At 40.6% G+C, this 22,543-nt stretch overlaps 1 protein-coding gene across 21 annotated transcripts in view; it reads left to right on the forward strand.

The window, feature by feature from the left end:
* NTRK2 (neurotrophic receptor tyrosine kinase 2) overlaps positions 1-22,543 on the forward strand; it is a 358,533-nt gene that overhangs the window by 200,744 nt on the left and 135,246 nt on the right. For 5 of the 21 annotated variants that reach the window (XM_017014755.1, NM_001018066.3, NM_001369537.1 and 2 more), the window contains one exon: positions 2,524-8,633. The exons of the other annotated variants lie outside the window; for them this stretch is intronic. In XM_017014755.1, the coding sequence (XP_016870244.1) occupies positions 2,524-2,552 (29 nt within the window). In that variant the 3' untranslated portion in view covers positions 2,553-8,633. Of the gene's footprint in view, positions 1-2,523; positions 8,634-22,543 lie in introns of those variants that run through there. 21 annotated transcript variants of the gene reach the window in all.

Raw genomic sequence — 22,543 nt, forward strand, 5'->3', positions numbered from 1 at the left:
TTTCTGGCCTCTACCCAAATGGCCAACCTCCATTTGGTCACTCCTTCTGTATAAAGTCTTGCTAGGCCCTGCACCCAACCGCAATGTCCCAGCTTAGTGTCCTCAGTCACTCCACACCATATATCAAACGAGATTTTCATTTTTCCAGGCAACAAGTCACTATACTCTTTCATGATTTTAAGAACACTTAAAATAACAAATCTTCCATGAATCCTTTTTCAAATAAATGAGAATGAAGAAGCGATTTACTTCTTTCCTTCCCTTCACCCTTTTGTAAATGTCATTTTTTATCTCATAATTTTTTTTCCTTTATCTTCGGTGTATCTGTGGCCTTTTGTTAAGTAGTGAGTATGAGCACTCTCATGTGTTTCTGCAGTCTCTTTTAGGTTAGACTGTAAGCTCTTGGAGAGCAGGATCTTTATCTGTTGAACCATTCCTTCATAGCACAGGACGTGGTGTACCTTTGATGTCGGCCACATGTTGACCAGATGTAGCTTTATATTACTGAAATATTAATTTCTAGCAGATATGTAACAAGAAAGATGACTCATAATCATTTTCATTGGTTTTATTCCTATCAAACTTGCCTACATAGTTGTTTATTTATTAGACATGTTTTTAACAATATATTAGCCAATTTAAACAGATTTAGATAACAATTTTAGCAGAAATAGACTTTGGACAAAAAAATCTTTTCTTTGAACATTCTAATTGTAGTCGTGCAGAAATTAAAATATTTCAAAATGTATAGACCTGACATGTAGATGAATCTGTTGGTGTAGGCCCATGAAATGTTGAGAACTTAGATTTCAATTAGATAATTCCCATTGACTATATATATATATATATATATATATATATACACACACACACACATATATATACACACACATACATGTACTGTATATATACACACATATATAAGTATATGTACATATACCTATATGCACACATATAGGTATGTGTACATATATAAGTATATGTACACATACCTATATGCACACATATAGGTATGTGTACATATACATATACATGTACATATACATATATGTGGGGTGTGTGTGTGTATATATATATATATATATATATATATATATATAAAACTCTGTCACCCAGGCTGGAGTGCAATGGCACAATCATAGCTCACTATAACCTTGACCTCCTGGGCTCAAGTAATCCTCTTGACATAGCCTCCTGAGTAGCTAGGACTCTAGGTACACACCGTCATGTCTGGCTAATTTTTTTTTATTTTTCGTTTTCATTTTTTGTAGAGATATGGTTCTCATTATGTTGCCCAGGCTGGTCTTGAACTCCTGGACTCAAGTGATCCTTCACACCTTGGCCTCCCAAGGGAGGGAATGCAGGCATGAGCCCCATTGAATATTTTTTACAAATGAGCTTTTAAAGAACCTCCAAAGAAGGGCTCTTTCAAGAAGTTGCAATGATAAAAACATTTGAGAAGATCTCAGAGAGAGTTTAGAACACTTTCAATGTGCTTACAGCATAATATCACATGGACAGTACAATATCGCTATTCTTATGGATCCAACAGAGACTTGAGCCAAAACCTGGCCTATTTACTTCTCTTTCCTAAAACTGCATGCTATTCAAAGATGTTGACTTTAGAATATACATATGGTCTTACGAAGATCGCTGAATTGTAAGAATCTAATATATGTAAGATCTATATGTATGATCTTACTCATCTCACTGAATTTTAAGAATCTGACTTATATAATAAAGACGATTCATTACATATTTATTTATAACACTCTTTTAATACTAGGAACGAGAGATCTCTTGAAAATGATGGCTTGTTCCCTGCTCTCAAGGAGTCTCACTGGCAAGGCCAATGGTTAGATCATCATATAATCATAATGCAATGTGATAGACATTACAACAGGATAGGTTAGAGCACGGGTCCAAAACCCCAATTACCAACAACGATCAGGCACGTCAATGCAAGAAACAGGCTGAAGGAAAAATGATATGGGCTAGTGAGGGCCATGCTGGAGTATGGGCCTGGTATTGACAGATACTATAATTTTTCCAGAGAAAACAGGTGTTTATTATTTTATGTGGATTCCCCAAGATTTAAGACACCGGGTGAGATAAATAAAAATATATCAGTGTGAGTCAGGTTTGGCTCACAGTCTACCACCTGGGTGTGATACTCTGAGTTAGACTTGAAGGATCAATGAATAAAAACACCTTATTTTATAAATGATGCTCAAAAGTGGTTTGTCCAGAGTGACACAAGCTCAATACTTGCATAGTTTGGCTTTAAAAACAAAACAATAAACAAACATGATCAAATTCGACTTCTTAAAATGATGCATAAAATCATTTAAGTGAAAGATGGTGATCAATTATATCCCTTGAAGTATGTTTTCACTATCTGGAGTGATATGAGGGTTTCATTTACAAAGTCCAGAGATGGTTTGCAGGATTGTAGAGCAATCTGAACAGGGCTGAATTCCTCCCGAGCACTTTCCAATAGCAAGTCTGTCTACTTTATTGCAGGGCCCAGAGGTTCCCCCAAGACCGCCTGATAATAATTTGGTATTTGGAGGCTCCTGTGTCACTGCAGGAACTAAAGGAGGCTAAATCCATGCCTGATGGAGGAGAAGAGTTCTATGGTTATCTGCAAATTCTGGCCAGACAACATCTTGACGTCACTCCTTAGCTTCCATAACCTAGCCAAGCAAGAAGTTGCCTTTCCAAGACAAAGCAGTGTGCTCTAATGACTAACCCCTCAAAGTACTATGCCACTTTAACTATAGACCCATCTCCTCGATCAATCAGGATGGCAAGATGGAGCTGAGGAGCTCAGCAACATCAAGTCTGGAGTTGGTCTTTAACTCAACTAGCTCGTTTAGACGTGTCTGAACACCACATCACCTGACAGCACGGGGTGGTTTCCCAGTAAAATTTACAAACTCAGCTCAAGGGCAGCTGTGTTGCTTTCCTTTCCTTGACTGCTGAGAAACTTTTTGACAGGGAACAATGGAAACACACCTTCTGAGCTGAAACAAACAAACAGAAACAAAACATACTAACCAGCAAAATCCCCAAATCATCAATCTTGGGTTCTCTTGAAGGGCAGGAGTGTGTTTTATCTTCTCCCGTCGGAGCAAACACTATAGATGTCCTCCCTAAAATTCTGTCTTCCCTAGAGCAGCCTTGTAAATTAGCTAGGGTCCTAGGGTTGAGGCCTAAATCAACTTAAAATTGTCTCTAAATATGTACCTGGATGTGTTTGTACTTGCAGAGCATGCCCTCTTCATGTGCCTAGGGCTAGTAACTCCCTGTGGCAGAGGCATGTAAAGTATTCTGACTTTTTTTTTTTCAACTTAATTCCATTTCCAATGAAATGGATTTTTAAAAATTTTCTCCAGAGTGTGCCATACTTCTCCAGCTATTATAGTTAATGTGTGTGTATCCTTGTGTATATGTGTGTTTGTGTGTGCATATGTGTTTTCCTAGTGGTTACATGCTTACTAGGCAATTATGTAAATAAGCACAGATTCATAGGCCAGCTAGGCCTGAGGAAAGAAGACATTATAAAGGGAGGGAGTATTTTAACATTAGCTAAAGCTATCACACAAGGCACCCATTCTGCTCCCCTCAACAGCCACAGCCCACTTCGTCCTTGTCTTACCAATAAGGGGAAAGGCTGGAGGTGATATTTTTCACAGAACCGCAGAGGTTTTGAACATATTTGCAACATTACTTTGAGTACACATGAGCAAAAATTCTGAATTACATCCAGGACCCCAGAAGCTCATTAGATCAAAGAGTGCGGGGCCCCTCAGAGTTACCAGAGATTATCTGCAGACTTCAGTGCAATCGAATGACCATGGTCCATTTTGATGGTCAGAGGTAGGACTGAAAAACGGGTAGAAACAATTGCTTTAGCGCTTCCTTCTGTACTTTGCCTATTAATGTTTTGTCTTTCAAAAATATATTTTCTCCTAATTGTTTAATTGGCCAAATAATGGCTGCTTTGGGAGTTGTTTGTATGCCTTGGAAGGCCATGGCCTGCACTTTAAAAATAAGCTAAGTCCATTCTGCCCAGCACGAGCATTAGGACAGAGAATGCACTTATTTTAGGATCCTTAAAAATTGCTTCTTTTATGGCACACTGGGTTGACGACTCATCTCGTGGGAGCCTTCATGGCACATTGCTGCTGTTCTGCAGGTCCCAATACAATTCCTTCCCCCTCTCAGTGCCACGGCCCCCCCATTGCTAGCTACAACAATTTGATATCATATTCCCTTTTCAACTCCAAAGGAGATGATAAGAAGCTATCAAATAATGCTTTAAAAAAGCAACTTGAGTTTCTTAAAAGAAAGGAAATGAATACATGCTGCATAATTACATTTAAAATGTAAGCCATGTTATTATAAGCCGCACTGAGATGAAGATTTGTTAGCAAACCAGTTTCAAGCACACTCACAGTGAAGTAAAATCATGTTTTTAGCATCTGACCATTGGGTAATATTATTCTTTGTTATCAAAAGAGAAATATCACCCAAGTATAGTATACTTAGACCTCCTAGAGGAAACACTCCAGTCCTAAGCTTGGTGTCTGAAAAGAAAAACAAAAATAAAGATTATGGATTTAGGTCAGGGAGACAGAGTGATATTCTGAAGACTGTGTTTACTCCCTCATCATCGGCCAACCAAGATGGAGTTCTGCATCCTGCACATATCAGACATTTCAGTCCAATTTCACCAAAGCATCAGTGATGTTCTAGAAGCATCCCAGCAGATGGAGGATCCTAATGTATTTGTTCTGGGTATTTCCCAAGGCCCAGCCTGACTGGAGTGTGTGTACCAACAGGATGAATCCAATCAAGCTACGCCCCCATTTTGGTTTCGGATTGGCCACTCTTGCATGTGCTAGTAGATTGTGGACCAGGACCAGCTGAGCAAACACAGTTGCAGAGTAGCCTCCTATGTTGCTAAGAAGCTCCTGCTACCCAGGTGCTTTGAACAATTGAGTGCTCCCTCTGGTTAAGTAGAGATGGCACCACCGGAGTTTTTCTTGGATGTGAGGCTCAATCCTTTACGGCAGCTATTATAACAAAGTGAAGGTTTTCTCCCTGGGAAATGCAGCTTTTCTCTGTCTTTACTAATTCTGCCAGCCTGTGAGAGTAACCACCGTAGCTGGGCTTCTTCTCAGATTAATTGTCATGCCAGGTCTCCTTCCTGGGGAGCTGTGATGCTGCTCTGAGGTTGATTGCTGAGGTTGTAGTGGGTTTTTGTTTGTTTTTGTTTAGTTTTTCTTGATTGTTCTTCTTTCTCTTGAATGGCAAGAGAAGAAACACTTTCTCTAACCCACGGCCAGGAAGGAAATGGGGAGAGAGCTACTTCTTAGTTCAACCTGGTTGCCACATAAAGGAATCTCTCTCCTTGGACTCAGCCCCTAACTGGAAGCAAGAGCCACTGCCCTCTGAGACTGAGAGAGCAGCCCGAGGAGGAGATGAATCCATTCTGCCCTTTGTTTGGGTTTGCTTCCTGTCAGTGAGAGAATGCTGAGGCAGTTCCTGTTATGTGAAACTTTCATTTTTAAAACCAGGACAGTCCTAAACAGACTGGAATGAGTTGGTCAATCCCAGTTGGTATAGGCCCAATGATTTTTGCTAGTAAGATAGGATTGTCTTCCTCACCCAAAATGCCTTCAAGTGCCCTAAAATGGGTATTTTAAAATAAGAATAAATAATGTAGATTTAGTAGAAAACCTGGAAAACATAAGAAACAAAGATGAAACGAAAAGTCCCATGTAATTCCACCAGTTAGAGTTAACCACTGATATCGTTTGGATATATGGCTTTCTAGTCTTGTGGATATCCTTTTAATCTCTTGTAATATAAAGTCTGACCATATGTGTCCTTGCATTTGTTTGTACTGGACTCTGTTAATATTTCTATAGTAATGGCTCACTTTGGGGAGATTGTGCTGCACAGTGTGTAGGAAGCACATTGGGTGTATTATTCCCAGTTTTGTATTTTGTATTTCCTTGGAGATGTGCAGGGGTTAAGAGCGGGGGTCTGGCCATAGCTGGCCACGTCAGACTCTCATATGGTAAGTATCACAGAGCACATGAGGCCTGTGTTATGCGCTGGAAAGACTCAGGAAATGAGAGGCTCTCTTGTTCTGACAAGGCAGGCTGAGAGCTCTCATTTAGGGTCATCACTCCAGATAACTCCAAATGCAGTTTATTGCTCAACTGAAGCAGATGATCACTTTTTGCCTCCAAGTTCTTCACCCTAGCTAGCTCCTTTCAAAGAGCCGAGTATGCTGGATCTTAAAGGGCCAAACTAGTTACATCTCATACATTTCCTGATGTTTAGGGATGCCTTCACTTCCATCAAGGATACCTTGGCTGTGCAAGGACCTCTGATAGCTGGAGTCTCCTTTTGGTCACTCCCAGCTTTGCTTAAACTTGATGGAGTTTGCTGTCCAGTGATCCCCGGATCTTTCATCATGAAAGCCTTCCTTCCTCTCCTGATGTCTCAGGCCTCTAGACCTAGACTGGGGTTCTGGCAAGGAGGCCTCTATCAATAGTATGACATCCAATAATATGTTAGTGTTGATATTTTGCACAGTAATATTAAGTTTAAGAGATTATAAAAATGAGTTCAAATGAATAAGTTCCTGTGATGTAAGAGATTAGATATGTGTGATTTCAGAACCAAAGGCAGGGGGGAATCCCAGAAAGAAAACAATAATATAATCCTAGTTTCTATATATTATTTTTATTCATTACTGTATATGGGTAGAGATCAATATTCTTTCTTATGCTGTTACTATTAATTAACACATTTTTTAACCATGCCATTGAACTTTTGGGTGCATTAAAGTGGAACCCAAGCTCCTCATTAGATAATAATGGCATTTGGACTGAGTGCCATATTCCTAAATTTCCAATAAAGTGGTTGATATAGAGAGGACAGGATAAAGCCCTATAGTGTGCAGTTATATCAAAACAGCTAGTCTCCACTTTAGGGAATGCCTTTACTAGAGATTACATGAAATGTCTGCTTATAAAATAAGCAGAGATGGCACCACTAAGCAGCCACCTGAATTGTTTTCCTACAGGAATGATTACTTTTCAGATCCATTTATGTTTTCATGCTCAATACTTACTCCCCTTCCCTGCAACACCCAAAGAGTTTACTTTTGCAAGTCATTTGGTCTTCAGTCTACTACTGAGGAATAGAGAGGCACTAACTGCTTTACCCAGGATCAGAACTCATGTTCTTACCTTCTATTAATAGAGTACTTGAGCCAGATGGACTAACTGGTCTCACATTTTCTCTATCTTGGTTTTACTTCCATAAACATCAATATCTTTACCCACATGATTTTTCCATCCTCCCATTTTTTTCCATATGTATTAGGGTTCAGGAACTATGATGCTAATGATCACATTTCTTCCTAGTTCCTAATTTCATTAGTGCCATTTCCTGATATCTACAGAAACAATTATCAATACATGTAGCTGCTTGAGCCTTATTTAGAAGGCTAGCCTTTCTTTTCCAAGTGCTGTCAGAATGTATACATTTAGTCTGTCTTTTTCCCTTTTAGGAGTCTTTGTTCTGGGTTGATGGCAAAATTCCTCTTTTTACATGTGAGATTTTTGATTTCACTGAATTCTACCTAGATTTTTATGGACATTGGATTTTAAAGAGGAAAACACTCATTTTCTTAGTAAGATATTGGTGATACATAGCTATGCCATTGATTTCCATACTCCTGAGCTTTGGGGAGGGAGACAGTGGCCAAGTAGCAGGCAGAATAAGATCATCACTCATGTCCTGAATCAATCACACTTTCCTTCTCGGATTGTGTATATGCTCTGCCACTTCCTACATATTACATCCTGAGTTTTTAAGTAAAGTGGATCTTAGCCAGATTTGAGTCTAATGGCTGATTCATCGGCATAGTTCTTGGCGTTAACATCTCAGTGTCCTCTTTAGTTCTCTTTGAGGATTCATGTCATTGAGGGCCTTTGTGCCTCCACTTGTCTCAGTATGAGGAAGAACTTTGGTGTGAGGGCGGAGCTATGTGAAGGGTTGCTGGGTTGGGGGATTAGTTCATATGGTCCCCATGCCATCTATTTACTTTTGGAGAGAGGGGACTTTGAGTGGGTGGGTATGGATAGATGTTCCTCAAGGAAACCCTGCTGGCTAATGGGCACTACATCTGTGTATTACTGTGATTCTCTCTGTAAGCTCCCCATGTGGCCAAGGACCCCCCTCCTACCAGGGCACTTCCTGCCACCTCATTGCACTGGTCTCAACCATTCAGCCTGCTGCTGCTGCACCATGTTGGGCTGCGGTAGGATAGGGAAGGGGTTCTGTTGATTGCTAAATGTTGCCTAACTTTATTTCCCTCTCCCACATTTCATGCAAGGGAGCGGACCTAACACATGACTTGCATTCTCTTCCTATGTTCAGAAACTCCAGGGCTTGCCCACGTGTATGTATGAGTGACCAATGGAGCTTGGAATTCTTTATCTATATGATCTGTCCGAAAATGAGATCTTTTGTACTGGAATTTGTGATGTAGTTGATCATTCAGAGCCAAACGCATATACCAATAAAGACAAGACTGTCATATATGTGGTCTCTGTTGCCTACTTTCGTCACCTGCTAATACTTTTTCTTACATAGACTTGAGAATATAATTCAACATTGGGATTCCTCAAGGCACCACGAACAGAGCTCTAGAAGTTGTCCGCATTGGTTCCCCAGTTGCCCCCACATAGCCTCTCTGGGTTTTCTCGAAGCAACTCCTTCACTCAGGTAGGCCAGCACTAGGGTGAGGCAAGAATGTCACTTGCTTAAGGCACAGAATTTAAAGTGACACCAGAAGTGTCAGTACTCAAGATAAATAATATACTCATGCAACATTTTAAAAGATAAAAAAGAATGCAAAAGATCTATGAAGAAAATATCAAAATTTTAAATAAAGCCAGCATAATCCCAGGAGGGCTGGGATGAGTGTAAGGTGAGTGAGCTTAGTCCTACAAGTTCAGGGTCAGATCCTGTCTTTCCTTAAAATTCTGATATTTTTGGCTGGGCATGGTGGCTCGCGTCTGTAATCCCAGCACTTTGGGAGGCTGAGGTGGGCAGATCACGAAGTCAAGAGATCAAGACCCTCCTGGCCAACATGGTGAAACCCCATCTCTACTAAAAATACAAAAATTAGCTGGGCATGGTGGCTCATGCCAGTAGTCCCAGCTACTTGGGAGGCTGAGGCAGGAGAATCGCTTGAACCCAGGAGGCGGGGGTTGCAGTGAGCCGAGATCATGCCACTGCACTCCAGCCTGGCGACAGAAAGAGACTATGTCTAAAAAAAAAAAAAAAAAATTCTGATATTTTTTAAGCGCAAATATTTGCATTCAATTTTATCAAGAACTATTGCATTACACTTAATATAATTTATCTCAATAACTGGATTTTTAGCATTTCCTTAATTGTGTGCACAAAGCAAGAATCTCACTCCCTTTAGCCTTGACCTTGGCCTCAGGGCTCCTTCTGGCCTGGATCTTGTGTAAACCTCTGGCCTTTGCAAAGCTGTTATGTGTACATAAACTTCTCAGTGGATTGTCTGTCAGTCTTCGGATACTTCCTGAGTTCCTGGCCTAATTGTCCTTCCTCACTGCCTCGTCTTCCCTTGGAGATGCAGTCCCCTGTCTCCCTTTTGTTCAGCCAGCCTCAGCATCTCCAGCAGTAACCATCCTGTGCTATCTACTGAAATAGCAGATAAGTGCATGCTCATCTTCTCACTACATTTTTAAAATTTTTATTTGTTGTATGTGACTCTCCAGAGTGAGGAAATGAATGAGGCTGCCAAAGAGAGAGAGAGAGAGAGACAGAGAGAGAGTGAGAGAGAGACGGAGAGTGAGGCAGAGACAGAGACAAAGAGAGATAGATTCTTTGGAAAAGGACAGGAGGGAGGATCAGGGGACTTTCTCAGTAAGTCTGAGAAATAATCTAGGGGAAAAATGGATAAAATTTTTAAAAAATAAGGGAAATTCTTTAAAAAACCTATATTGCTTTTGTCCCCCACATTTGGAGGTGTATGATACATTTGCTAAGCTGAAGATACAGTATTTGAGATTTAAAATATTCCATTTTCACTCAGCCAGTTTCTTAATGCCATGCGCTCTTTTTGTAATATTTGCATTCTCTATTTTTATATAATTTCTACCTAATGCTTTTTATGGGCCAGGCCCCATGGATTGTATTTTCACATTAAAAAAATCTTAATAATTGCTGCAGTATAGATATTACTCTGTTTTACAGATGGGAAAAGTGAGGCTCAGAAAAGTTAGGAGGAAAAGGAAAATGCAAATTCCATCCTGAACAAGGGGTTGTTATTGAAGCCCAGGTGGATGTCCTGGAAGTGAGGACTCTTTCTAGCCCAGTGCTGCTCATCCTTTCCAAATTAATACCCAGCAATTTTCTAACTCAGCAAGAGGAATTGTAGTGTTGGCATTGCCCCTTTCATGTGGGTGATCAAGTATGCTGGGGTGTATTAACCTTTGGATCTGAAGGGTGAGGAGTGTCCACATGGTGGGTGCTGAACTTACTGATAAAGGAGGAACCTGCCAGTGGGCAGAGCCCAGGCCATCTATGGTACAATGATTGATATAGGCTCACTGGCCTGTGATGTTTTCTCTCTCAGTAGTGTCTTTAAGAAATATTAAATGATCATGAATATAAAGCCGTTATTTTTATTTTTTTGCCAATTAAAATTATGTAAAATTCCACTTTTTCTTTTGCCAAGCCCTCTCTGAAAAGTTTACATTTTTAGTTTTAGTTCAGAAAATCCTAGAAAAAGCAAGCTATACCATAGATCTCAGACTCTTTCTTGAGTGGGTTCACTCCTCGGAGATTAGCATATCTGATTTCCTAGGTGAACTTGATATCCAAGAAAAGAATTCAAAGTGTGCCAACTGTGTTTGGGAGCATGTTGAGGTGCATATATTTGCTGAGTTTCTGTAGGCAATGCTGGGAGGAGTGAGAACCCACAGCTCCTGGGCAGGGTCACCCTGTACAAGGAGGCCAAGGGAACACAGTGTCTAGTAAAGCCTTCTTTTCAGCATCCTATGGGGAACCAGCCTTGATGCGAATCTTATGAGCATCGCAGAGGACAGACAAGTACTCCTCTGGCTCACCTTCTACAACTCGTTCCTTCATTTTCCATTCAAAGGTCCATGTTTCCAAACTGGCTAATTGAATGGAGTCAAAATTTCTATAGATCTTTATGCTTTAGAGAGCCGTTTTAAAAACAAGAGTTGGCATTCATACGTGGCATTCTTCCAAGCCTGCATCTACGTGCTTCATAAAGTCAGGAGATATCAAGGAGCTGATATTCTTGAGCACTTTGTGACAGACACACATGTTGACCAATATCTCATATAAGTCTTTTAATGGAGAGAGTAACACATGTTCTTTAAAAACATCATACAGCACTTCTTTACTGGGCTTGGTAAGTGCAGATGAGTTAGAACGGCAAGGTTAGCCAAAATGAATAATTATTTTCTGACTCAATGTTTATTCTCTTAATTATCTTGATAACTTTGAAAAAACCATAGTTTGGAGTATGAATTATTCAAATGTAGTTCAAAGTCCATTGTGACAAGTAATAAAATACATTCAAAATATTGTTTACTAGAGTGTTCCAAGCCCGCTGAACCTCTATGCATTATCAGCTACAAAGCTGCAGAGCATGGCCAGCCCTTTGGGGTGGAGATGCAGCCAGAGAGTGGTTTGGAGAAACTAATTAGAATGTGACTTCAGAGAAAAGGGGCTGAAATATTTCCAAACAGAGAATTTGATGAGTCCTTTGCTTTCCCTGGGGTGGGGGTTATGTATGTTTCTGCATGAATCTCGAAATATTTGCCAGTATGGAAAATTTTCCCAATGAGAGGAGATAAAACAAATCTCTGACTAATAAGACTGTCTGGGACCTTTAACAATAAAACTCCAGGATGGGGAGGGGACAACAAGGGTAGGAATGAAAGTTCAGATTAGGCTTAGGGTATATGTCGTATGTCTCTGTTGGATGATGAACGTGTAATCAGGAAGTCACGTCTCACCAGGAATTCAGTGGCAGTAGTCAATGACTGATATAAAAAATTGCAGATGGAAATAAATACTTATTGGCAATTTTGTAAGTTCTGAATCATAGTCTGTTCAACGAACAAACAAGTGCTTTGGCATCTCCGGCTCCTAGAACAGTGCCCAAGACATTGTAGGTTTATAATAAATAGGTAGTAAACTGAATGAACAAAAGAATGGATGATCTTATCTACTTTGCCTGTCATCTTACTGTAGCTTTGGGAAGAAAATACATCTCTACTTCATTGAGCTTCAGGCATCTCTAGTATTTGCCTATGATTCTGGTAGGAGCAAAAGGTTGGTTATCTTTCCTTTTGAATTGCATATTAGCTATGCCCATTGCCATGTCTGTTCAGTGTTGGGTTTGAAGCTTTTTCTCTTGCTCTTTCTGTCCCACCTCCTAAGTAATTTGTGTTTTGAGAATTCTCCTGTCTGGTTTTGTAACTTGGGTTTCAGGTATGCTAAAGCTTTATGTTTTGTATTATGAGAGAATAATTTCTCACAAGGCCTAATGCTGAAGTTTTAATGGAAATATACATATTTCTCTCATTGAATTTACACAATAGTCATATGGTGGGTATTCTTGTTACTTTAATCACACAGAAGGAAAACAGTAAGGCACTGAGAAGTTAGGCAACTTGCCCAAGAACATACAACTACTAGGCAGGAGAGCTAGGAGTTGAACCTAGATACCCAAACCCTAGCATCGGCTTTTAATGCACACACTGAATTCGTGCCCGTCTCTCTGTCTAGCCATCAAGCCAGGCTTCTTTCATGCTCCCACCAACACACACACACACACACTGACCCACAATGGATTTGAGGCAGTTTACGTTGGAAATGCAGCCAGTTTAACTGATGAGATGGGTATCTGCAACTTTCTCATTTTCCCTGTCATTTAAATCCTGAAATTTCTTTCCATACTATAAAACACTGTTTAGATTCAAAATTGACAACAAGGGAGAGTATGATTCCAAATGGTAAAGGCCAGGCCAGAGTCTCAAGTCCTTCATCTTTGATGGAGAGCCACCCCTTGGCCACTGCCAAGGGCCAAGGTGATTTGGAAGGTGATGGTAGCAAGTTACCAGGCGGTCTTTTATTTGTGGCTTTGCTCAGCTTAGTTTTTCTCAAATATGCAAGAAAGCTGGAGGACACCACTGTTGGAGGAGATCTGTATCTATTTATCCTTAACCCCATGTCCGGTAGCAAGCCACTTGGCTGTTGGCAGTTGTCAGCAAGCAAAAGCTCTTGGACCTGTGTTTTTCACTGTGTCATCTCTTTTGTTCTAGTGTGTGTGTGTGTGTGTGTGTGCGCGCGCGCGCGCATGTGTGCATTATAATAACTAGAAATACTTTCTTTTATTTATTTATTTTTCCGAGTCGGAGTTTTCGCTCTTGTCGCCCAGGCTGGAGTTCGCGATCTCGGCTCACTGAAACCTCCGCCTCCTGGGTTCAAGCGATTTTCCTGCCTTAGCCTCCTGAGTAGCTGAGACTACAGACAGGCACTACCACACCCGGCTAATTTTTTGTGTGTTTTTAGTAGAGATGGGGTTTCACCATGTTGTCCAGGCTGGTCTTGAACTCCTAACCTCAGGTGATCTGCCCGCCTCAGCCTCTCAAAGTGCTGGGATTACAGGCATGAGCCACCACACCTGGCCTGCTAGAAACACTTTCTAAGAATCAAATCCCTGCATCCAAACTGGTATCTATCAAATCTGAGTGGCTAGAGGTGAGGCCAAATAATCTGCATTGTTAAAAAGTCCCCAGACGATTAGGATAAATGTAAGAGTTTGGGGATCACTGTTCCAGGTTAGACCCATTGTGGAAGGTTCTCATCCAGAAGGACCATGAAGCTGGGTAAGGTGACGTGAGGTGGCAAGCTCCCTGAGGACAGGCTTGTACCTTGGTTGCTGGTAAGTTTTTTTCCTAGCCTTCCCAGCTTTGCTGATACATGGTTACCCTTCCTGGTTGCAGTACAATTCTTTTAGGTTTTAAAACATGGAACTGTTTCACTCATGCGGGTTTAGGGCACAGGGATTGTGGTTTTGAGGGTATAGTAGCACAGGAGTTGAAAAGGCATTTAAGGGATAGTCTTGTCATTCTAATGACAAGCGCAATGTCTCCATGAGGCCATGGTTCTTGTTTTTGCATAATCAACATGGAACTTGATCCATTCATGAGTTTAGGATTCTCTGTGCACCAACAATACACCTGACATGGGTCACCAAATAGCGGATGAGAAGAATCTACTGATTGATATTTTCACAAACACTTCATAAAGTTGCTAAAATGCCAAAACTCCTAAGCTTAACTATTTGAAAAGGATTGGCAATTTTTTTAATCTATATAATCAGCAAAATGCAGAAATGCCCAAAGTGGGTGAGATTAGGCTCAATCCTTCTAATAATTCGGTATCAAAATAATTAGAAACTGGAGTTGCATCAAAAGTTTTCTCAAAATTCAAGTTCACTAACCTAGTTGACTTTTCTCAAGAGAAAATATGCTATAATAATGTCAAATTATCAGAATGTTAGTTGTATAATTTAGTACTTAGTATAAGGAATTATTGGGAGATCATTTTATTCCTCCTTGCAAATTCTAAAGTTTCTTTTGGAATTTCATTTTATGTGATTTGATCTGTACAAAATAATGTAAGAAGAGAATGGGACAGATGGAGAGAAATGATTGAATCACCGTGTTTCAATGAAAAGTATTCAAATTGCATTTCACTACATAATGAATTCTGCTTCAACTTACTTTGACATAAATAAGATTGGGTAAGAGAAACCAGAAGTAAATCAAATAAATTAATAAAACTATCAGAGCTGCTTCAATTTTGGTCCTCAGACATTGTCTGCTTTATTTGTATAATATAACCTGCTCTTATAAATAAAAACTCTTGCATATAACTCAGTTGAAAACAAAAATGTAAGGAAGAGTTAGAAAATTTGGAGGCCTGATTAGGGCACCTTCTAATTTTACAAATATCAATTTTTTTGAAAGTTGAAAAACTGAAATTTGCAACCTAGAAGAGTGACCTTCAACTTTCAACTAGACTTTTTTAAAAAAAGAAGATGGGAGATACAGACATGCATGCAACATCGACGATTAGCTGTTCTTCATATTTTCCTAATTATACACATTTACTGAACATGAGGACATTTTTGCATTTTGTCTAGACGAAGGCTGTGTCTCCACTGGCATAATATATCACGACGTTTGTGAGTCTTGTGCAAAATTGAATTTGCATCTCTGCCGCCGCTTGTAGAGTTCATTATCTTGCAATACAACCACTGGGAAAAATACAATTTTCTGTGTTTAATAAAACTGTTGTCTTCTCATAGTGCTTATGATGCTTGAACAATTTGTCAGGCACTATTTATCACAGATGCTGAACACTAATTATACTGTGTGTAGTGCCTGTAAGAGTGATTTTAAATATTTTCTTTATTTAATATGTATCAGTGCAACCAGGGTTTTTTGCAACCACACTATTATTTGCATTTCTGAGAATCAATGTGTCTTTTCACAATATTAAACATAAAAGAAAAGCCACTAAACTAAGAGTAGAACATGTAAAATATGTACTGGATATAGTCAGGAGGCAAGGAAACGGATGGAAAACTCAGTCTCTTTGCTCCCTAGTTAGCCTAGGGCTGTAGAAAGAAGTAGGGCATTGGCCAGTCTGAAATATGTCTCCAGGTCTAATTAATACTTTATAACTTTCTAGGATAGAGATGATCACTGAGGTCCCTCCAGGCTACTCAGTTCTGCAATCTGTGATTTAAGTAAATCAGAAGTTATTTAGCATGGCTTCACTAATCAGAAACCTGAAAGACCAGAGGCCTGTTTTCAGATGATCCCTTGAAAATGAGATTCAAATGACCAACCACTAAAAGAATCAAGTGCTAAATCACGAGATCGAGACCCTGAAACATAGTCTCCAGCTATTACGTGTTTTTTTGAAGAATGGCTATCATACAAACACAATTTCAGCGGGTCTTTATATTAAAGACACCATTTAAATGGGAACTGCATCCGGTGTTCTTTGTATGGTAATAAACTGAGCACATAAAATGAATGTGTAGCAGAATAGAAGTTATCTTTTTTTTTTCTTTTAATAATCCTGAGAAGCATCATGTCGAACACATGGAAAACCCTTAGACTGAAACAATAAACAGAGTTAGTTTGGGCAACTTTGAAAGAAAAGAAGGTAAGGAAGGGTTATTTCCTATGAGACTTATTGGAACCCAGTATTCAAAATGGTTTTCCTACTGACATCTTGAAGAATTCTGTGCTTTGTTACTATCATGTTTTCACCAACAAAAGAATTAGCTGGTTGGGCCTGGTGGCTCACGCCTGTAATCTCAGCACTTTGGGAGGCCGAGGCAGGCGGATTATGAGGTCGAGGTCAGGAGTTCAAGACCAGCCTGACCAACATGGTGAAACCCCCTCTCTACTAAAAATACAAAAATTAGCCTGGTGTGGTGGCGGCGCCTGTAATCCCAGCTACTCAGGAGGCTGAGGCAGGAGAATCGCTTGAACCTGGGAGGCAGAGGTTGCAGTGAGCTGAGATTGCGCCACTGCACTCCAGCCTGGGTGACAGAGCAAGACTTCGTCTGAAAAAAAAAAAGAATTAGCTGAAAGAGAACTTTAGAGAATACAGAACACCTGTAGATGGGAAATGGGATTTCTAACTCTCTAGGTCAAGACTATATACTTTCATAGGTATATGAAATGTGTGACCAGTATAAATATATGTGACCAATGAGACCACTATGAAGAATTTGTTGTGGACTCAGGTAAAGCAGTGCCACACAAAGAAATTCACCCAAAGAGGAAGTAATGGTTATAACTCTTCATGAGGTTGATGTTGTCTTCCTGTATTTTTTCCTGGAAGACAACAGTTTAGTTTGGACCATGATCCCATTGGAAGAAGCTTCGAAAGCTTTTGGAGCTGTTGGTCACCTCGCCTCCTTAATGCCCAACATTTGATGGTTTGGAGAAATGTAATTGCCACCCAGGCACTGCCTAGGCTTGGGTGTTCAAGTCTAGCCTTAATTATCACCGAAGCTCAGGGCCACTGCCATTCTCTGAAGCCCCTGATCTAACCTGGGGCCTCCAACTGTTTCAGATGAGTCTTTGTCTTAGCGACACAGGCACATTCTCTTTTTCTGTTCTGTTGCTGCAAAGTGGTATCTGAGGCCTGCCACTGGAGTCTGTTCACCTAATGCCGTTCCTTGAATATATTGCATGAGAAGATTCTTTTCTGTTTTTTATCCCACCATCTCCTGTTACCTTTATGTCAACACTTTCTCCTTGAGCTGACCCCTCATCAGCTTAAAACCAGTTCTTGCTTCTAGATTTTGCTTAGCTTGTGTTTTCTGGGCCACCAAATACTTTTCACTGGGTAATGTAAAAGGAGACAGAGCAAGCCAGGAAGCAGATGTCTCTTGGGTGGTGTGTGTCTTTGAGAATTGGAATTTGAAATCTCTGTATGAAAGGAGCAGTGAATGGGTGTAATTAGTCAGGCTGATGAAGGAGTAAAACCTGGTAAGCAGTTTTTCTTGACTGGCTTAATGAAAAGCATTAGCTATCAGTTTCTGTCTAAACGCGCTGAGGGTAAAACAAGTGTGGGGTTTGAACAAAAGATAAGATTCAGCGTGGGCTTGGACTCCGTTCCCAAGAATAAGTTTTGCTTGGGCGGAAAGTATGTGGTTCATCCGAAAAAAAAGAAATCAATGATTTGTGGCAGTTCTTCGTGCATTTTATTTCAGGATAATTTATAATATTTCAGGAAATGTAAGGGGTTCTCGCAAAGGCCCAAACTGGTGTTTTATAACCAAGTATGAATGTGTTGCTCCTTTTCTTCTCATCCCCTCAAGCCAGACACTTTCTCTAGGTCAGTTTTCAGGGCCAAGGAATCTTTTGGGGGTTAACTTACGGTTATCTTCCATCAGCTTTTGTCCTTCCCTGTGGCATGGACCTAGCCTAAGACCTTAAGACCTGCTCACCTCCTAGTGACTAGCAAGAAATTAAGTACCCCCTGGAGGGGAAGATTTCCTGCTCTCAAAGAAATTTTTAAAATATACTCTAACATCACTTATGATGCCTTTAAAGGCCTCGGAGAAAAACGATGTGAGTTTCTAGAAGAAAATGATTTTATATCATTGCTTGACTATGCTAAGCTGTAGTAAGGATTCTTCATGCAGCAAGACCAAATACCCCAATGATCAGCTCAAGTCCAGAGGGTGGCCCAAGATGCTGTTTCCTTTTTTGACCATCTCTGCCTCCAGGGACAGCAGATAGACATCTCCAGCAGGACCAGCGGCATCCATTCTCAGCTTGACTTTGTTACATAGATTTCAGCTTTCTGGCTTGGACCCCTGTGAAAAAATCTCTTAAACTGGGAAACTACAAAAGGGCTGGATCCACATTTTTTTTCCTTAAAGGAAAGATTATTTGTTAACGTTAATTGAGGTTGCAGATTATTTTCTTGATGTTGTGGGGACAAAAGTGACACATGATCTTACTTTCTGTCCTATTTGATTAAAATTCAGATAAATGTTACAAGGGATGACAAAACCCATTTTTTTTAAAGGTACACAACGTCTGGATAAACTACAGAGTGGAACAGAAAACAAAACAAATCCAGCCTCGTATTTTTTTTCCACATAGTTAATAATGCAAGAAAAAGCCAGCCAGGACAAAGAAAGCAGAATAAAAATGTGGTTCTTGGGTTCAGATGTTAGAGATGAGCATTGAGAGAACTTAACCAGTTCTGGAAAGGGAAGGAGAAAGAAAACTTTTTTTGAGACTTGCCATCTGCTAAGTGTTTCCACATACGTTATCTCAGCTAAACTCCACCTTCAGGCAATTTCTTATAGATGAGGAAAGGGATGCTTGAAGAGTTTAAATAACAGACTCATAGCTCAGGCAGAAAGTGGCAGAGAACACTTCGGGAGGACATGGCGGGTGGATCACAAGGTCAAGAGACCGAGACCATCCTGGCCAACATGGTGAAACCCCGTTTCTACTAAAAATACACAAAAAAATTAGCTGGGCATGGTGGCAGGCACCTGTAGTCCCAGCTACTCTGGAGGCTGAGGCAGGAGAATCGCTTGAACCCGGGAGGCAGAGGTTGCAGTGAGCCGAGATAGCGCCACTGCACTCCAGCCTGGCGACAGAGCAACACTCCATCTCAAAAAAAAAAAAAAAAAAAAAAAAAAAAAAAAAAAAAAGTGGCAGAGAAGAGACTCAAACCCAGGTTCCCTGCCCTCAAAGCCACCCCAGGGACTTCTGTCTTTACCTTTTTGTAACCAGGCACTGGGCACCAATCCTATAAAAATCCCTAAGAGGTTGGACCCAGTGCTTAGAGTACTCAACATATTATAAAGTTCACCTGACCCCAGAGACCTGCTTCAACCCATAATAGCAAAAGCGTTGAGTCCATGATCAGGACAAATCACAAGTCACACAACCTGCTTTAGTTTAAGTCTCTGGGAAGCCCAGCCTTCATTTTTGGCTAATTGCCTCATTGGCGAACTTTCCCCATTATTTATTAATGACAGAAATTTTTTTTTTTTTTTTTTTTTTTTTTGAGACGGAGTCTCGCTCTGTCACCCAGGCTGGAGTGCAGTGGCGCGATCTCGGCTCACTGCAAGCTCCGCCTCCCGGGTTCACGCCATTCTCCTGCCTCAGCCTCCCGAGTAGCTGGGACTACAGGCGCCCGCTACCACGCCCGGCTAATTTTTTGTATTTTTAGTAGAGACGGGGTTTCACCGTGTTAGCCAGGATGGTCTCGATCTCCTGACCTCGTGATCCGCCCGCCTCGGCCTCCCAAAGTGCTGGGATTACAGGCGTGAGCCACCGCGCCCGGCCCAATGACAGCAATTTTTTAAAAAGTGGCTCTTTAAAAACGCTTTTAAAAAATCTTTCTGTAATTCTAAAATACCTTTGATACTTTTAAGTAAGACTCAAAAATACTTTTGTATTTTATTTTTTATTTATTCATTTATTTTTGATACAGAGTCTCACTCTGTTGCCCAAGCTGGAATGCAATGGTGCAATCTCAGCTCTCTGCAACCTCCACATCCTGGGTTCAAGTGATTCTCATGCCTCAGCCTCCTGAGTAGATGGGATTCCAGGTGTGCACCACCACACCCAGCTCATTTTTGCATTTTTAGTAGAGACGAGGTTTCACCCTGTTGGCCAGGCTGGTCTAAAACTCCTGGCCTCAAATGGTCAGCCAAACTTAGCCTCCCAAAGTGCTAGGATTACTGGCATAAGCCACTGTGCCCGGCCAATATTTTTGTATTTTAAATGTGGACATCACATATCATTGGTGGCATATTCTAAAAGTATAACTTATTCAGTCTTCACTAGGATTTAGTTTTCAGAAAAAATTGTCCTGACACCACCATCATTATTACCAGTATCGAGACAGTTGCCTCATACTTGAGTTTTAATCCTAGCCTCACAGCTTGTACTCTTATGTGTCCCTGGGCAAGTCACATAACCTCAATCAGCCTCAGCTTCCATTCTGAAAAATGGTAGTAGCAGCATTATAAAGATATAAATGTCTGCTGTTTGGGGGCCTTATTAAGAGCCAGCTGCTGCACTTAGCACTTTGCTTACATGAGTAAAATGAGGATAAGTATGCCCAACTTCTTTAGTTCTTTTGCATCTTCAGGGATTTCCAATACACATACATCTAGCATGAGGCTTGGCATGTTGTAGTCAGTAGCCATCAGTCCTGCTCTCCTCCCCTTTACTTCCCCCTCCCTCACCTTAGGTCACACTAGGTCACTAATAACTCAGGACCTCTTGTTAAGGTCTTCAATAAAACATGGTGGTGATGGGTGACAGCAGGTCCATGGGTGTGACTGATCAGTGCTAATGGCCGTGACCCTTACCGTCCTCATGTGACAGGCTCAGAGCCAGACTGGGGCTAATTGATTCTATTACATTTAGAGATTTAACCTGTAGGGGGTACTCAGAATCTTTTTTATGAAGGGGCCATTTGATGAACTGCTGGGGTAAGGATCCATTTCTTAGCCTTGGCTTTAGGTTGCTTGTCCCAGGTAGGGAAAATGTACATTGGACTTTCTTGATCTTTTCTCATCCTCTAGGATCAGTTATAGCTGACCATTTGAATGAAATCTCCTAGTTACAGAAGCAGTAATTTGAAAGAAAAGTAATTAAGGGATCTAGAGGAAATTGCGAGATATAAATGAAATTTCCATCTTCCTACTGCCATAATATCTTCAAAGGATCCCATTAGCAATCCCCTTGGGATGAATGCCATGATTAAAAAATGCTTATCTGTGGTAATGGAACAAAGACGTAGGACACAAGGCTACCCTTGATCATATAACAACAAAGAAATACACCTGAATCTGGGAGATTATCTTCTTGTGAATTATAAGGAAATGCTTCTCAGTCATCTTCATTGAAGTACTGACTGGCAGACAGAAGTCTGAGACTATAACTCTAAGGTGCTTTCTTCAATTGTAATATATCTTTGAAATCTCAGATTTTATTTTAAACATATGCTTTGTGATCTAATTCTGTGTGACAAACCACCCCACCATTAGTGGCTTAAAATAAGAACAATTTACTTTTCCCATAGTCCCATGTGTCAACCTGGCTGTTTACTTCACCGTGTGCTGTCAGTTTGATAGGAAAGTCCAAAATGGTTTCTTGCCTGTGGCCGATAGTTGGTGATTGCTGGCAGGGAATTCGGCTGGAATTGTCAGCCAAGGGCCCCAGTTCTCATGGATGCTTGTGCTTCTTCACGTCATGGAGGACTCAAGATGGTCAAGCTTTTTTTTAAAAAAAGTGCCAGGCCTTCCGAAAGCTTAGGTTCTAGAATGAGCACTGTCTCACCTTCCCTGCATTCTTTTGGTTAAAATAGCCTAGATTCAAGTGAAGAGATTATACGAGAGCATGAAAACAGGAAGACACGGTGCATTGGAGGCCATCAAAGCAATAGTGCACTACAACATGGGAATTTTGCACACTCTTCCAGAATACATCTCCTATATGTGTTATAAAAATATATTCTCCCAAATAGTCAAGTAAAACGAACTCTTGTATAAGCTGTGGCAATATGCATTCCATGGTTTTGCTTACCTTGGCACACTACTGTGGACATGCCACTAGGGAAGTAAGTGCCAGGATTTTCTTCTTTTCTCAGCTGAAAGGTTAGGTCTTGGGACCCAGTAGGGCGGATCTGGGACGAGAGTAGAATACAGATGGTTAGTCCACATATTAATCTCACTTAGTGTGCATGTATGACTGAATCCCAAAGCTAAATACAAGTGATTTTTATTGACGTTCATGTCTATGTTTTCATCCTTTACCCACAGAATTAAGTTATAAATTAGAACCTAGAGAAG

Source organism: Homo sapiens, chromosome 9, assembly GCF_000001405.40.
Source record: "Homo sapiens chromosome 9, GRCh38.p14 Primary Assembly".
Taxonomy (NCBI): Eukaryota; Metazoa; Chordata; class Mammalia; order Primates; family Hominidae; genus Homo; species Homo sapiens.